This window comes from Homo sapiens, chromosome 4 (assembly GCF_000001405.40).
Source record: "Homo sapiens chromosome 4, GRCh38.p14 Primary Assembly".
Lineage (NCBI taxonomy): Eukaryota > Metazoa > Chordata > Mammalia > Primates > Hominidae > Homo > Homo sapiens.
Genome location: NC_000004.12, coordinates 3,836,465 through 3,853,165, shown reverse-complemented (window position 1 = coordinate 3,853,165; position 16,701 = coordinate 3,836,465). Strand labels below are relative to the sequence as shown.

At 50.7% G+C, this 16,701-nt stretch overlaps 2 annotated features.

The window, feature by feature from the left end:
• Positions 1,553–2,540: an enhancer, noted in NCBI's record as "OCT4-NANOG-H3K27ac-H3K4me1 hESC enhancer chr4:3852353-3853340 (GRCh37/hg19 assembly coordinates)". NCBI's record gives its function as "activates a minimal SCP1, AML or CMV promoter by ChIP-STARR-seq in primed H9 embryonic stem cells {active_cell/tissue: H9 hESC(primed)}" and the evidence as "EXISTENCE:reporter gene assay evidence [ECO:0000049][PMID:30033119]".
• Positions 15,731–16,399: an enhancer, noted in NCBI's record as "NANOG-H3K4me1 hESC enhancer chr4:3838494-3839162 (GRCh37/hg19 assembly coordinates)". NCBI's record gives its function as "activates a minimal SCP1, AML or CMV promoter by ChIP-STARR-seq in naive H9 embryonic stem cells {active_cell/tissue: H9 hESC(naive)}" and the evidence as "EXISTENCE:reporter gene assay evidence [ECO:0000049][PMID:30033119]".

Here is a 16,701-nt window from a genome sequence, read left to right as displayed (position 1 = left end):
ACACTCTCCTACCTAACCCCACTAACCTGAAAATTTCTATTTCAGTTTTCTGAAAAATCCCATACCTGACAAATTTAACATTGATACTGTCAACTGAAGAATGGTTAGGCTCCTAAGTTTGGAAAGGAGAGCTTTGTTTCTCATAAAAATGGTAGCAGCCTGCTGGGCAGCCATTCTGACAGGCTGGGAAGCATAGCCTCAGGTCAGAAGCAGGAAACAGACATTTCGAGAATGGGAAGAATTAGACAAGGGGTTATGGTGAGTAGGGTGGCCAAATATGCATATTCAGTGAACTACAGGAGGAGTCATGAATATTTATGAGAGGAGAAATGTATGCGTGTGCACTTGAGCTTCCTACCTCTCCATGGGACCCATGCTCAAGACATGGCAGCATGATCTGAGGGTGGACTTTTCTACCCTCTGATGTGAAAAGGTGAAGCGAAGGACACAAAAACCCTCACCGTGCATCCCCTGCAGACTGACCAGAAACTCTCTGTGATCCGTGGTCTCTCTCCTATCAGGAAGGAACTCAGGTGAGTTGCTGTGTCAAACCTGTAAGGGGTGCGGGGCGGGGCGGGGCGGGGCGGGGCGGGGTGGGGGCAGGTCAAGCATTGGTTGTAAGCAGGGCAGAGTCTTTTGGAAGAGCTGGTTTCTCTGCCGCCCTCAGGGAGGCAGCCCGGTGGCAGTTAATGAGGGAGGGAGGCATATGACGAGGCAGGTCCAACCTCCTGTCCTGCTGTGGGTGGGAACTCATCTCCCAAGGTTTCTCTAGGGTCCCATTGGCCAAGAGGGGTCTGCTCAGATGGTTGGGAGGCTTAGGATTTCACTTTTCTTCTCAATTCTCTGTAATTGTTATGGATTGAATGTGTTGAATTCATATGTTGAAGTCCTGCCGCCCAGTGTGATGGTATCAGAAGGGGGCGTCTTTGGAGGTGATTAGGCTTAGACCAGGGCGTGAGGGTGGGTCCCATGATGGGATTAGTGCCCTTACAGGAAGAGAACGAGACCAGAGCTCTCTCTCTCTTTCCATTAGCGAGGACTGGGTGGTTTGGAAGCCTGGAAGACAGCCCTTGCTGGAACCCAGCCCGGCTGGCAGCTGGCCTCATCTCAGACGTCCCGCCTCAGACCCGGAGAACTAGGTGTCTGCTGCTGAAGTCCCAGCCCTGCTATTCCATCATGGCAGCCTCAGCTAAGACAGCAATGATCTAATATTCATCCACGTTCCAATTTCCCCAGTTATTCCAAATTATATCTTTTAGATAGAATTAACCTGTTTGTTTAAATCAGTACTTAATGAGGACCACGCATTACATGTCATTGTCATCTCTCTTTAGTCTCCTTCAGTTTAGTTTCATCTCCTTCCCTGTCATTTTTGGTCTCTCACAATGTTCACAGGCAGTGCCCTCCTCTTCTAAAGACAAAAGAGAACGAGCTAAAGGCTTCTCCTGCCCCCATATCCCTCTCCACACAGGAAAGAGGGGACCCAGTGCCTGCTGGGAGAGCTTCTGCAGGAGAGGGTGTAGCTTGGGGCTGCCTAGGGCTCTGGAGAAAGCAACTGAAAAGAAGATGGTCAAGGTCAACTTTAGATAAAGGCATGCAGCCAGACATCTTCTCCTTCCTCTCAAATGCACTCAGAGCACCATTATAGCCGCGCCTCTCCTGTTCCCAGCAGCCCAGACACAAACAAACAATGCGAAGAGATGAAGGAGCCCTGAAGACCTGGCCTCTGCAGCCTCCCAGCAGCTGGGAAGCATTTAATTGCCCGCAGGGCTTGTTATGCAAATGAGTCATTGGCTGCTCTAGTCTCGCACAGATGTCTGATGAGGCGGGCTCCTTGGCTCAGTCCTTTCTGAAACAGACAGAGTTTATCTGTACCCTCATTTTACAGATGAGGAAACTGAGTCTCAAAGAGGGTAAGTATCCACCCAAGGTCACCAACTGGCAGATGTTAGGTCCGAGCTGATTTAGGCCTCAGAGGGAAGGGGTGGCCTTGGCCTAGGAGAGGGTACTGGCCTCCAGGGAGCAGACCCCTGGGTCAGGCAGTTGTGGGAGGCATGGACACACTCTGGTGGGCACAAGGAAGCTTGAATGCAACACTGCACCCAGCTGGCACCAGAATACATTCCTCCTTTAGTCTACAGTTGGCATTCATCAAGTGCCAGCTGTGTACCAGGCTCCATGATGGGTGGGTGACCCAGAGATCAGTCAGATCCAAGCCCTGCACAGGCCATCTGCAGAGAATGCTCCGGGAATGTTGGGTGATCACTGAATCAATAAATACATCAATGAATTAATGAATCAATTAGCAAATGATATGGGCTTTGACGTATGGATGGGGCTTTGCACAGTTCATGTGTGGGGTGAGGGTTGCATGCGTGGCCCCGGGACATAGACCGAGTGTGTTTTCCTGTGTAGAAGCAGGATCCAGGAGTAAAGACCCAGCAGGGCCAGGGATGGGTGTTCTTGGTTCCCCTGACCCCACCCTCACCTCCAGGAAAGTCACCACTCTCCTGCAGAGAGGAGTTGGGGAGAAAGCAGGGACAAGAGTAAGGGAGCAGCATGGCTCCCCAAAAAAGCAGAGGCTCCTGCCAGAGGGCAGCAGGAGCTTGGGATGGCCTAGGCCTAGACACAGGGCATGAGCAGCTCACAAGAAGCCTGGGCTGAGGTTTGGCTTATCTGGCCCAAGGCCAGGGGAGGGGAGGAGAAGAAGGAGATGTCCACGGTACAACAGGCTTCCATCCCATTCTGCTTATCTATTGCTGTGCAACAAGCCCCACTAAAACTCAGTGGCATAAAGCAACAGTGGCTGATGAGTCTGTGGTTTGACTAGGCTCAGCTGGGTGGCTCTTCTGTCTTTGCAGTTGAGGTCTCTCATGGGGCTACAGTCAGTGGGCAGCACAGGCTGGAACACCCAAGATGGCTTCACTTAATGTCTGGGGCCTTGGTAGGAACAGCTGGTAGCCTGGGCTCTGAGGTAACAAAGGGGCCTCCCCTCTCTCCATGTGGTCTCTCCAGCAGGACTTCTTACCTGCTACCTCCCAGCTCCCAGGAGTGGATGTGTCATGCTTTCTTAAGGCTTGGTCTCAGAGCTGGTGCAGTGTTGCTTCCTCTCTTTTCCACCAGTGATATGGATTGGATATTTGTCCCCTCCAAATCTCATGTTAAAACGTGATCCCCAATATTGGAGGTGGGGCCTGGTGGGAAGGTGTTTGAATCATGAGGGTGGATTCTTCATGAATGGCTTGGTGCCCTCCCCACAGTAATGAGTGATTTCTCATTCTTTTCATGCGAGAGCCAGTTGTTTAAAGGAGTCTGCCATCTCCCGCTACTCTCTCTTGCTCCCTCTCACATGTGACACACCGGCTCACCCTTTGCCTTCTGCCATGATTTTAAGTTCCTGAGGCCTCACCAGAACCTGAGCAGATGCCAGCACCATGCTTGTACAGCCCACAGAACTGTCAGCCAAATAAACCTCTTTTCTTTATAAAATATCCAGTTACAGACACTCTTTTATAGCAATGCGAAATGGATTAACACCACCATCACATCATAGGGCCAGCTCAGATTTGACACAAGAGGGAACTGCCAATGGTGTTAGTACTGGGAGCATGGCCCACCTCAGGTGACAAGTTGATTGTGAAGGGCTTTACTCTCTATGCAGAAAAGGGAATGGTTGAATCTTCAGTAGTCAGTGTGCTTTGGAGAGAACATTTGGTGGCACAGAAGTGGAAGCAGAAGAAGGCAGTTGGGAGGTTGCTGCTAGAATTTAGGAGCATCCTTTACCTGGAGGACAAGGCTAGGGTGGGAGGAGAGAAGCACATTTGAGTCAGGGAAGAGCACATGGAAGGGACATGTGGCAGGAGGGCTGTGGTCATTAAAGGAGGGAAATCAGAACAGCTGGGCCCAGAGAGATGGGAGAGACTGAAGAAGGGTGGCCAAGGCCACCCTGCAGGGCTGGAGGCCATGGGGAGGGGCATGGGGCTCACCCAGGAGGCTGGTGAGCTCTACCCTCTCTTCCAATTCTTCCAAGGCACTAAACCCACCCCTGAGGGCAGCACCACCCTCAGGACCCAGTCACTTCCCGAAGGCCCCACCTTCAAATACCGGTGCACTGGAGGTGAGGGCTGTAACATATGAATTTGGGGGACACAATAGCAGGTGGCTGATACTGATGGTGGTAGCAGCCTGTCTGGAGCAGAGGGTCTCCAGCTGCAGTGGGTGAGGTGCAGCCATGGCTGCAGGCTGCGTGGAGCTGGCGGGGGCCAGGAACAGGTGGGAGCCCCGCCCCCTACCAAGTTAAAGGAGCGGGAGCCCCATGTTCCCAGGCACAGCTGCAGCTGCCCATCCACAGCTCCAGACTGGGGCATCTCTGTGCTGTCAGTGGCCCGGGAAAACCCCCATAAGCCCACAGGCTTGGAAGTATCTGCTCCTGCTCCCTGGCCTCTCCCTGTTCCTGGCATCCACTCCAATTTCAGAGCAAAGTTGTGGCTGAGCCTGGGCCCTGTCACAATCCAGCCAGGTGTGCCTACCCTGGGGGCAGAACTGACCATGCCAGCCCCTTGCCACCTCAGCCCCTTCTGGACCTTGGGCACTGACTAGCACAAGAGGGAGGTCAAGCGGGGACTGAGGGTGGCTCATCGCAGGCCTGCAGGTGCCCCCCGGCACAAACAGCCTGGTGCCGTGGATGACCGGTTGATGGTGGCTGAAGGCAGACAGGCTCCTGGGTGGAAAGGGGTGGGTCCCTGGTGAAGCCCCATCTCCAAGCCAGGGCTGGCCTGAAACCTGGGGGCTGGGCTGTCAGTTCTGGGTAGAGTCTGCCCCTCAGAGTGAGAACTTGTATTTTTTCTGGGCCCACCCATGGCTGCCCATGGACCAATCAGCACACACTTGCTCCCTTCTGAGCCCATAAAAACCCAGGACTCAGACAGACTCACACAGACATTGGGACTACTAGCTGTGGGAAGGAACTACTCACCTGGGGTCTCCTGAGAGCTCTTCTGTCACTTAATGAAACTCCTCTCTGCCTTGCTCACCCTCAAGTTTTCCATGTATCTTCCTGGACACAGGACAAGAACTCAGGACCTGCCAAATGGTGAGACTGAAAGAGCTGTAACACAAACAGGACTGAAACATGCCCCCCGCCACCAACTGTCCACATCATGGGCGATGAGGAGAGAAGAGCTGTGGCCCTTCAGGGAGCCCAGGCCAGGGCTGTGACACCCTCTTTGGGGCTCTGTGGTTCCTGGTGTCTCCAACCTTCCAGCACCACTGCGTTTCCCTTGTCCAGACACAGGTGTCCACAGCGGAAGCCAAGAGTGATACATCTGGTCCAGCCACATCCTCTCAGGGAGCCAGCACCTGTGTTGGCACTGGAGCTGCCCACCCCGCCGCAGCAGTCGGCATGCCTGGCTGTGTGCAGTGGCTGGACATGGCTCTGCGCTCGCTCACACATCCCTCACCACTCTGTGCCTGGCTCACCATTGGCAGGCGTGGGATCCGGGCCGGTAGCAGGAGCAGAGGCAGCAGCAGCAGAAGGTACCACCAACCACAGAGGTTTCCACAGAGGCTGGCAAAGTTACACCCCAAGGATTCCATGACAATACTGTGATCCCACCATGACCCCCATCTGTCATTCCCACTGAGCTGTAGGCACTACATCACCAACCCTGGTAACAAGCAAAGGGCTCAGCTTACAGGAGATACTTGGTTCTGTTGTGAGGTTAATGAGAGACTGAAACTTATTACCCCCTTCCAGATAAGGGGCTTAAACCAGGGCCTCTCCCGTCTGGAAAGCCTTCTAATCAACAAGCACTGAATTGCTGCAGGCAGGCATTGCAAGGGCCAAAGGATGTGTATTGTACCACATTGAGCCAAAGCTGAGACTCAGGTGACATTCTGCTTTTCTGCTATCATCCTTCAGCCATGGACCCTTGCATCTGCTTAAATCTTCTTTTTGAATTCAAAGAACATGTCTTTTGCAGGGCCCTAAAGACAGTCCTCGGAGAGTGTCAGCCATTTTGGGGATTCTCTAACCAGTTTTAGGAAAATCTCATCTATGTTTAGGACCAATAACAGCTCTACTCCTCTCTCTCAAGTTATACAAACTTCATCACATCTTCCTTCGTGCCTGGTTCTCCCCACAAGTGTTGAAATCATTTTTGTGAATCACGTTTTCTCTCCAAGAGAACTCATTTGAGAAGATCTGTGTATATCCTCTTAGGGCCAAGGAGACCTGAAGGATATTTTCTTCCTTAATCAACTAAGTTACAGGCATCCCACCGGATTCACTTTACAGGCTTCAAATTAGTTTAGGAGTTTCCTAGAGTTTGCTGAGCTCAGTTCATCCTAATTGGGACAATTTCTAAGCATCACGGAAATAGCTGGCTGAGAGAGATGAGAAGCCATGAAGCCCACCCCTGCAGTGGGCATGTGTATTAGTCCGTTTTTACACCGCTGGTAAAGACATACCCTAGCCTGGGTAATTTATAAGGAAAAAGAGGTTTAATGGACTCACAGTTCCATGTGGCTGGGGAGGCCTCACAAGGCGAAGGGCACGTCTTACGTGGCAGCAGGCAAGAGAGTATGAGAGTCGAGAGAGGGGTTTCCCTTTCTAAAACCATCAGATCTCAGGAGACTTATTCACTACCATGAGAATAGTATGGGCGAAACCGCCCCCATGATTCAATTATCTCCCACCCGGTCCCTCCCGCAATATGTGGGAATTGTGGGAGCTGCAATTCAAGATGAGATTTGGGTGGGGACACAGCCAAACCAAATCGGCACATATGACCAGCCCTTCCAGCGTGCTCTCTGATATATTTTCCTCGCTCCCGAGCATGCTTGTCATGCAGAGGTGAGAGTGGGTCCCACTTAGGGTCTCCTCCACACATGGGCGCCCTGAGGCTGGCAGGTTCAAGCAGCGAAAAGCCACAAACAGACTTGAAAGATGAGCAGATGCCAGCACATTTCAGCCATGGTGGAATCTCAGAGTCACATGAGCCACCACTTGTAATGCCCCAGCCCACTGCTTGGCACATATTGGGACCCCCAAATGTTAGCTTCCTTGCCCCCTTACTTGAAGGACTGACAGAGGGAAGAAAATGTGTTTCTTGGGCAGATGGGGGACAGGCCTCATTCATTTTCACAGCATCAGAGGCAAGCACAGGGCCTGGCACATAGGAAGTACGCAGTCAATTTTGCTGTGTGACCTCAGACAAGTGGCTCAGCCTCTCTGAACCTCAGTTTCCCATACATAGAATGAGGTTGTGGTTCACAAACCAGTGTGCTCCATCATACACAGGCAGCAGTTGACTGTGGCTCATGTCACAGCCATCACAGTGCTCACGGTGAACCTGAGGCTTTCCTCCTCCCCTTGAATTGTCTAAATTATGCTTGACGGTTGAAGCAAAAACTGTAACACTCTCTGTGGTTCTCAATGTATGTGAAGGAGCTATTTAAGACAATTACATTATAAACGGAGTATGACAGAGGGACAAAGGGGGGTAATGTTTTTATACTTTACTCAAATGGTAAAATGACTACAACAGTAGCCTGTGATAAGTTATGTATACATAATGCAGTACCTAGAGCAACCACTTAAAAACCCATACAAAGAGACACACTCAAAAACACTACAGATAAATAAAAATGGAATCCTAAAAAATGTTTACATAGCTCACAGGAAAGCAGAAAAAAAAAAAAAAGAAAGTTAAAAAGGGAGAAAAAAAAATATGGCCAACTTAAGCCCTACCATATTTAGAGCTACATAAATGCAAAGGATCTAAACACACTGACATAGCTTGGCTGTGTCCCCACTCAAATCTCATCTTGAATTGTAACCCCTATAATCCCTCGTGGGAGGGACCCGGTGGGAGGTAATTGAATCGAGGGGGCAGTTTCCCCCAGGCTGTTCTCGTGATAGTGAGTGAGTGCTCACGAGATCTGATGGTTTTATAAGCATCTGGCATTTCCCCTGCTGACACTCATTCTCTCTCCTGCCACCCCGTGAAGACGTGCCTTCCACCCTGATTGTAAGTTTCCTGAGGCCTTCCCAGCCATGCAGAACTGTGAGTCAATTAAACCTCTTTTCTTTATAAATTACCCAGTCTTAGGTATTTCTTCATAGCAGTGTGAGAACAGACTAATGCACACATCAATTAAAGGCAGAGATTGGGAGAATGGATTTTTAAAAAAACCAATATATGTCATGTGCAAGAAATTCACTGCAAATATAATGAGAAGGTAGGTTGAAATAAGCATATGGAGAAAGATATATCATGCAAACATTAATCTAAAGAAAGCAGGAGTGACTGAATTAACACAATATTGTATACACAGTATAAATATCAGATAAAGTAAACTTCAGAGTAAAGAAAATATCAGAGACAGGGAGTGACATTACATAATGATATAATGTTAAAAAGATCACTCCACCAAGAAGATATAGCAATCCTAACCATGCCTGCACCATACAATACAGCTGCAAAATGTGTGCTAGAACAAAAAGAACCAGTTGTGTGTTTCTGAGGTGGTTTCTTGCTCACTTACGTCTCCAGGGGCTCTTTTGACATGTCCCAATCATAAAGGTAGTTTTGTGTGTATTCCTTCCTTTCAAACTAAGACAATTTATTTTTACAAGACAAATACTATTTGAGGAAAAATAGCAAAGTATTGCCACAGTCAATTTCAGGATGATTCATTACTCCCGAAGTTTTTCTACTCTCGTTATTGTCAGTTGTCCCCAAATGATTTTATTATGATGATCAAATTGACATAAGAAATGTACAATATAAAAAAAAATTAAAGGGATAGGATTCTTTTGTGGAAAACAATGTTTGTCTCAAAGAGCTGGCCCAGGAAAATGGGAGGTACTGCAGCCTCCCATGGGCACAGGTTTATCTGAAGAAGGGTCTGGAGGGGCCAACACATTGACTGTCCACATCTCCTAGGGAAGAATGCAGCAGGAGAGAGTTGGAGGGCATTTAATTTGGCTGGAAATATTGGTAGAGCTGTTCAGGGAGAAGAGGTAAAACATCCAAAAGGAAACTCTATTCGCAAGGGCTGTAAGATTTTAGGACCCTGGCGAGCCTTAGTGGTGGGACTTCCCACAGGAAGATGTATTACCGCTTCTGCTTCAGTGACAACCTAACGGTCAGGTGTTCTTACTCAACAAACCATACAGGTCATTGAGGAGGGATGTTTGCTCAGAGAAATCCTAATTAAACCATCCTCCTGTCTGATTTCTGCACTGGGTAGATACATCTTTGTTGTATCACATGTAAATGTGTTTGGAGGGTCAAACTTCCAGGGGAAAAAGAGCCAGTGTTGAGGTCCAGCCTACCCAATCATGGATCTTCGCTTCCCCGCAGCCAGTGTGTGCTCTGTGAGGCTTGGTCTCCTCACTTGTTGAAGAGGAATGGTATCCCTCCTATTCCTGGGACTTTTACAAGATCTAGAGGATGCGTGGGTGCCTGCCACAGTCTTTGGCATACAATAGATACTCAGGAAATGGTACTTTATTGAATGTTATAATCATTGATTTGATTTAAACATTATTTTTATACGTTTCTTACTTCTATACTAGATTGTAATCCTGAAATGAAGTAAATGATTTAACCTATCACACAAATACACTTTAAAAGGCGATATAATATTCTAACTACAATACAAAGGAAAAATGGAAGTGAGTTGCGATTTTTTTAAACTCTATATGCCAGTGTGCAGACACTGGCAGAACCAGTGGTGCAGATGGTGCAGGCATGGTGCATCTGAGATGCAAGTGCCAAGCACAGGCCAGGTGACACGATTTTCATGAAGTGTCCAAATAAGCAGGTTCTATCTTTCCTCAATTTACATGTGAATTGCTAATAGATATAACGAGGGAAAAAACAAAACAAAGCATTTCTCCTATTCTCACACACCACTCAATGTAACACTTCTGATGCCAGATGTGTGGGGGTGACATCAAGCAATTCTGCAGTGGACACCAGCCGGGTGTCCTCCAATTCAATTCAATTCTGATGCTGTCTACCTAAAGTCAGGTCCCACAGTGAGGGCTCAGTCCCACAAGACAGCCCCAACTTCAGATTCTGAGCGCAAGTCCAGGTGTGGCCTGTGCTTCTGACCAGCTGACTGTAAGTTGGGGTTCTTGTGAGTCCCCACCTTGGGTTTGATTAATTCACTGGAGCAGCTCACAGAACCCAGGGAAACACTTCACTGATGTTTACTGGTTTATGATAAAGGATACTGCGAAGGATAGAGATGAAGAGATGCATAGCGTGAGGCGGGGGGAGAGCTACAGAGCTTCCATGCCCTCCCTTCAGGCACCTCCATGTCTCCAGCTTTCCAGAAGTTCCCCCAACCCAGTCCTTGTGGGGGTTTATGGAAGCTTCATTATGTAGGCCTGATTGATTACCTCATTGGCCGTTGGCGGTCAACTCAACTTTCAGCTCCTCCTCCCTCTCCCCTCCCCAGAAGTCAGGGAGTGGGGCTTAAAGTCCTAACCTTCTAATCACGCCTTGGCGTCTCTGGGTGACCAGCCCCGTCCTGTAGCTGCCTAGGGGCTCCCAGCCCCCAGCCATCTCATGAGCACACACAAGACACTCTCACCACTCCAGAGACTCAAGGGCTTTAGGAGCTGTGTGACAGGAAGCAGGGGTAAAGACTAAAGCTATATTTCACATTATCACAGTTGCATTCCTAGAAAATCCAGCTTATTTCAAAACTATAAAAATCCTCACTGTTTGTTTGTATAGTGAAGTGAGGATCTAGGTTTAGATAGCCACTGATAGGATTTTCATGCACAATAATGCCCCATGGTATTTGTATTTTATTTTATATTTTTTAAATTGTTTTTTTCTTTTCTGACAAAAATGCCCTTCAGAAACCCCACAGTATTTGAGAAGCTTTGCAGAATGCGGAATGCGGCTTTCCTGTGGGGGTTTGTCCATGCATTATGGGACACCCAGCTTCGCTGGATGCTAATTACCAGGTGAAATCCCACCACTGGGACAACCAAGAACACCCTGAAACCTCCCCAGGGAAAAGCTCGTCCTGTTGACTTTATGGCCATTACCCTATGTGGCCCAGAGCCCAGTGGTGCTCAGTAAAAGTCTGCTGTTCTGAACCGACACCTGCAGCCTCCTGAACCATTGCTATGCACATTCATAAGCCTGAGGAATATGCTGTCTCTCTCTCTCTTTTGTTTTTTTCCTTTTTTGAGACAAGATGTCCTCTGTCGTCCAGGCTGGAGTGCAGTGGAGCGATCATGGCTTACTGCAGCCTTGATGTCCTGGGCTCAAGTGATCCTCCCATCTCAGCCTCCCACGCCACCATGCCCAGCTAATTTTTGTAGAGACGGAGTCTTTCCATATTGGCCAGGCGGGTCTCAAACTCCTGAGCTCAAGTCTTCCACCCACCTTGGCCTCCCAAAGTGCTGGGATTACAGGCGAGAGCCACCAAGCCCAGCTCTGAGGAATATTCTTGGAAAAAGTGGAAGAAATGAAGGCAGCTCCCAGCGTGTCAGGAAATGGCCATTCCAGGAGAGCGCTGTCCCTGCCTCGCATCCTCCAGAGGACTCCAGTGCAAATGATGAGGCCACCACCACTGTCCTCAAAACCAGGTCGCCAGCTGAGTCTCAGGGCAGGTGGTCCCGGCTAGTTCAGCAGCTCAGAAAGGCCATGGAGGATGGGGCCCTTTCCCTCTCTCTGCTCCACTATCCTCCGTGTCTGCCAGGCTGCCTTTGTGGCTGCAAGGGGCTGTCACCATCCTGGGGGCCTGTGCACACATGACCATATCCCATGGAAGAGTCCTCTCCCTGTGTGCTTCTGTGTAGAAGCCCATAGCGTGCTCCTCACTTGCTGTGGGCTGGACTGAGGGGTTTTCCTCCACCGTCACTGCTGCAGGACCTTCTGAGGCAGCAGCGTGGAGACCGCCCTTCCCTGGCATGGTACAGCTTGCCTGGCTGCTTCCTTCTGATGCCCACCAGGACAAGGGTTAAGTGAGGCAGTCCCTGGCCTCAGGCACAGAATTTAAGGGGTACCAAAAAACCTCAATGATCAAATTAAATATTTTGATGCAGAATTATGAAAAACCAAATGCAAAAGAAAATCTGTGATGAAGGAAATACTAACCTTCTAAAGATGAGATCTGGTCCTGCATAGCACGGCTCCCCTTGCTCACCCCACCCCAGTCCCTGGTCCTGCATAGCACGGCTCCCCTCGCTAACCTCACCCCAGTCCCTGATTTGTCTGGTCCTCGTTGTTTGAAACCATGATATTTTGTTCATCGTATATTTTTCATTAATTTTGATTTTTAAGATGTGACATGAATAAATGGTTCCTCTTGGGATGAGTGCTTGGAGGCCCCTTACATTTGTGCCCAGGTGAACCCCTATTGGCTCCACCCTCGTCCCAGCCCTGTCAGTGCCTCAGCCCGGCACTAAAGAGCTGAGCATCTGCAGACGGATGCCAGTCACGTACAGGGTTTCTTTGCCAATGCAGTTGCTTTAAAAGCTCAGCAGACATCTAGATTGCTGTGTCCAGTCAATGTCATGGGATAATGACCTCAGCCAAAGATCTGGACCAGACATAACCTTTGACTGTAGGCATGCCAGCCTCCTAGGCGTGGGCCCACTGGCCCCTCTGCTCCCTGTAGCCTGATTTTTGCCAACTGGATTGTCTCTATATTTAGCAGAGGATGCTTGACAGAGGCTTGGGAAAACAGATTTGGTTTTCAATCCATTCATAGCTGCTGCTGCTCCTGAGTCTCTTGTCTTCTCCTTTGCTCATATGTGGGCCATTTCTAGACAAGCCACTCACCTTTCTGTAAGCCCTTCTGCAAGCCATTAGAAGCAGCCAACTCACAGCCCCTTGAAACCACCCTCGTTTCCCTGAGAGCTACAGCTTCAGCAGACATGTCGTATGCAGCCCAGGCTTAAATAGGTGACAATTCAGTCAAATGGAAGATCAGTTTTTCTGCTTTTCACCAGTTCCACATTTTAGAGTTTGTTACTCCTACTCTTCTGGTACCAAATTCCATTAGTGGTCAGAGTTTTGACCTGAAAGCAACAGAAACCAAGTTGGATTCTAAACGGAAGAGGAATTATGATGATGACTCTTGAGTCATCCAAAGATTTTCCAGAAGGGGAAGCTGGGTTCAGACCTGAGCAGCTGGGAATAATACTCAATCTTGCACTGCAGAGATGTTCTGGAGGGCATTGGATGTGGCAGCTACAGCTCTGGGCCTGCATCTTGCTGCTATGGCCACCACCATTAATGTCACTGCCCCTTCTAAGGAATTCAGTGTTTTTGTAACTGCTAATGCTGTCAGAATTCATAGCTCCTTCTCCCTGCCACCCTACCCTATCCATATTTCTTGCTCCCGATTTGAAGTCTCAGGATGGAGGCTACCTGGTTTATCTACTCTGATGGAGACAGGCCCTTCCTCCTGCCAAGAGGCACATGGAGGTTGAGACTCTACAATAAATATAAAAAACTATGTGACTTTCCTAAGAGAAAGGGCAAATGTCCACTCCACTTGCCCCAAGAGATGGGCCAACATCAGTCCCTTCTCAGATCCTCTTCCCTGGCCAGGGGCGAGCACCACCTTCAGGGTCTCACTTCCCTTGGCCACAGGTCCATTGGTCTCTCTCCACCCTTCTCTCTGCCTCTTCTTCCTCCTGTCTCTCACACAGGTATCTCTCCCTGGGCTCTCATCTCCTCTCACAGTGCCCATTCTCCCCTGGGGACTCACCACCACCCCTGGCTCCCCTAACTGCCCTATCTTCATTTCTAGCCCTGACCTTTGCCCAGGCCCAAGACTCCCATTTGCTCTGCCTGCTGGGCTCTTCTGTTTAGTCACCTCCCCAGGCACCACCTGAACTCAACCCAGAGCGTGGATCATCTTAGGGCAAGGACTCCCAGGACACTTTTTCCTGCCTCTCCTTGTTAACAGGCAGGAACTAGGCCTCACCACAAGCAGGCCCTCACTTGGTGCTGAGCTAACAGGGACTCCACGCTGCCCTGTGGCCCTGACATGAGAGGTGCTGCACAAGGAACCCTCCCCAGAACAAGGGAGGTGGCTGGGCTGGTGTGGTGGTGGCCATGTAGGCTGCCCTCCTAGAGGCCCTGGCAAGGCACCACCTGCAGTCATGAGGAGGGGACATCTATGGTGTGAGGAACTGAAATTGATGACACTTGTATCAGGCACAGCCATGAACTCACCCTTGGATACTGCTGGCTGCCAGGTGCACCCAGGACATGCCTGGACCCCTGAACCTGCGAGGGGGAAACTGTGAACTCCACACTATTGCCTGGCCAGTGGGACCCAGGGAGGCTCTCTGCCACAGCAGACATGGAAACTGCAGCTGTGTGAGAGGCTGGCGGTACAACCTCACGGTGCAGGGACTTACCCCCATCCCCCTCAGATGAACTTTGTGCAACAGGAGGCAGAAGACAAGGGGTTCTTTGCCCTCCTCCCTCATGGACTAGCCAAGAAGTCCTGCATGACCAGGCAGAGAGCCAGACCAGCTTGTCAACCTGCCCCTTCACTTGCTTTCTGTCCCCTCTTCCCTCTGTCCCTCACTCTTGCTGCCTTGGGACTGCACTCACCTAAAGCTCTGGCAGGGAAATGTGGCCTTGGCATAGGAGGCAGACTTAGGGTGGCTCCCATGACCCTGTCTCCTGCTGTCCGTACCCATGAGTGTGGGTGAGACCTGCAGCTCACCACTGATAGAGGATGGCAAAGCAGATGGCAGTATCCATGGCCACGTGCCATCCCATGAGATGCCATCTGTCTATCACATGCCATAGGGACCCTCCTCTCTGGCTTGACAGCCTCCATGGCCTTGCTAGGGAGGTCCAGTGACAGCAACTGCAGGAGGCCTCCAGGAGCCAACGAGCAGCTGGAACCTCCAGACTTACAGCTGTGAGGAGCAGATTCTGCAACAACCTGAGAAGTTGGGAAGCTGATTCTTCCCCAGTTGAGCCTCTGATGAAAATGCAGCCTGGCCAGCACCTGTCTGCAGCCTGGGGAGACCCCTATGCAGAGAACCTGGTAAAACAGGGAGGCAGTGAGTGTGTGTGGTTCTGAGCCACTTCATTCATGGTGGCTTGTTACATAGTAGGAAGCTGACACACCAGGTTCTGTTCTCAAGGGAACCTAGACTATGACAACATCCAGCCCCTCTGATCCGGCACTTCATCTCCAGGAAGCCCACATAGCCTCGCATATGTTTCACAGGAAAGAAAATGTATACTCCCCTCCCAAGGAAGGAGGTGAGTGTCGTGACAACGATGAACTGCACATGCTGGAGAGGGAAGCAGCATGGTGGCCCCTGTTTTATAGATAAGGAGGGTGGCTGGTGGCTTGGTAACTTGTCCTGAGCCAGCAGCTGACCCCAGGCACCCGACTCCAGGGCCCAGTCATGAGCCCAGGCCTCTCTAGCCATTAATGTCAGGGATGTTGCCTCGTGCCCCTACCTACCGCAGGCTTAATGTGGGGGATGCTGCCCCATGCCCCTCCCTACTCTGGGCTTAATGTGGGGGGTGCGTGCTGCCCCGTGCCCCTTCCAACCCCAGGCTTAATGTGGGGGACACTACCTCACGTCTTTCCCCATCCTGGGTGGGAGTTTGGGCCCACAGGCACTGTCCTTGACCACACTTCCTCCTTTGGTCACTAAAAAGTTCCGGGTAACTGATCTGTCACTGACTGGAGCCCTGTCCCCATGCTGGGAAGGCCTGCCTCTCCATCCTTATCCATGCCCCCTCAAGACTGTAGAACCAAGAGGACCACATGGGCCTTCCCTGGTGGAGCCTGGATATAGTGGTGGAGGAGGCATTGTGCTGAGGTCTGGGATGGGCACTAGGCGTAATGGGAGGTGCCACAGAAAGGGTGATGCAAGTAACGCTGGGCCATGGTTACAATGGGGGCGAGTCACAGGAATGCAGAACAGAGGGGCACCACCCCGGAAGGGCCACGAGGTGGGTGGGATCAGCAGGGATCAAAGCAACACTGTGGCAGGGCCTGGGGGAGTGTGGCCAGCAGAGATCAAAGCAACACTGTGGGAGGGGGCATGGTCAGTAGGGATCAAAGCAACACCTGGGGAGATGGAGCTTGGTAGGGGGCATGGTCAGCAGGGTTCAAAGCAACACCACAGGAGGCAGAGCCTGGGGGGAGGCGTGGTCAGCAGAGATCAAAGCAACACTGCGGGAGGGAGCATGGTCAGCAGGGATCAAGGCAACATCAGGAGGCAGAGCCTGGGAGGGGGCGTGGTCAGCAGGGATCAAAGCAACACCTCAGGAGGCGGAGCCTGGGAGGGGGCGGGGTCAATGGGGATCAAAGCAAAACTGTGGGAGGTGGGGTTAAGAGGTGGGCGTGGTCAGCAGGGATCAAAGCTATACCGCAGGGGTGGGGTTATGAGGTGGGCGGGGTCAGTGGCCCGGGATGGGGCACGTGTGGTGGTGGGAGGGCTGGAACCCACTCACTGACACAGGCTGGTGAAAATGGAGAGAAAGTTAGAGCTCAGCAAAGTTAGAGCTGAGATGGGGGCGTAGACATTAATATGCTCTTAAAATAAGAACGCCCAGAAGAGGGGACTCATCAGCTGCCTGCTTCCAGATGTCAAAGCCTGGTTATTTTTAAGGCAACACCATCAAAGCAAAGCGTGCTGGAGCCGTGGGGAGGCGGCTGTCGCTCAGCAGC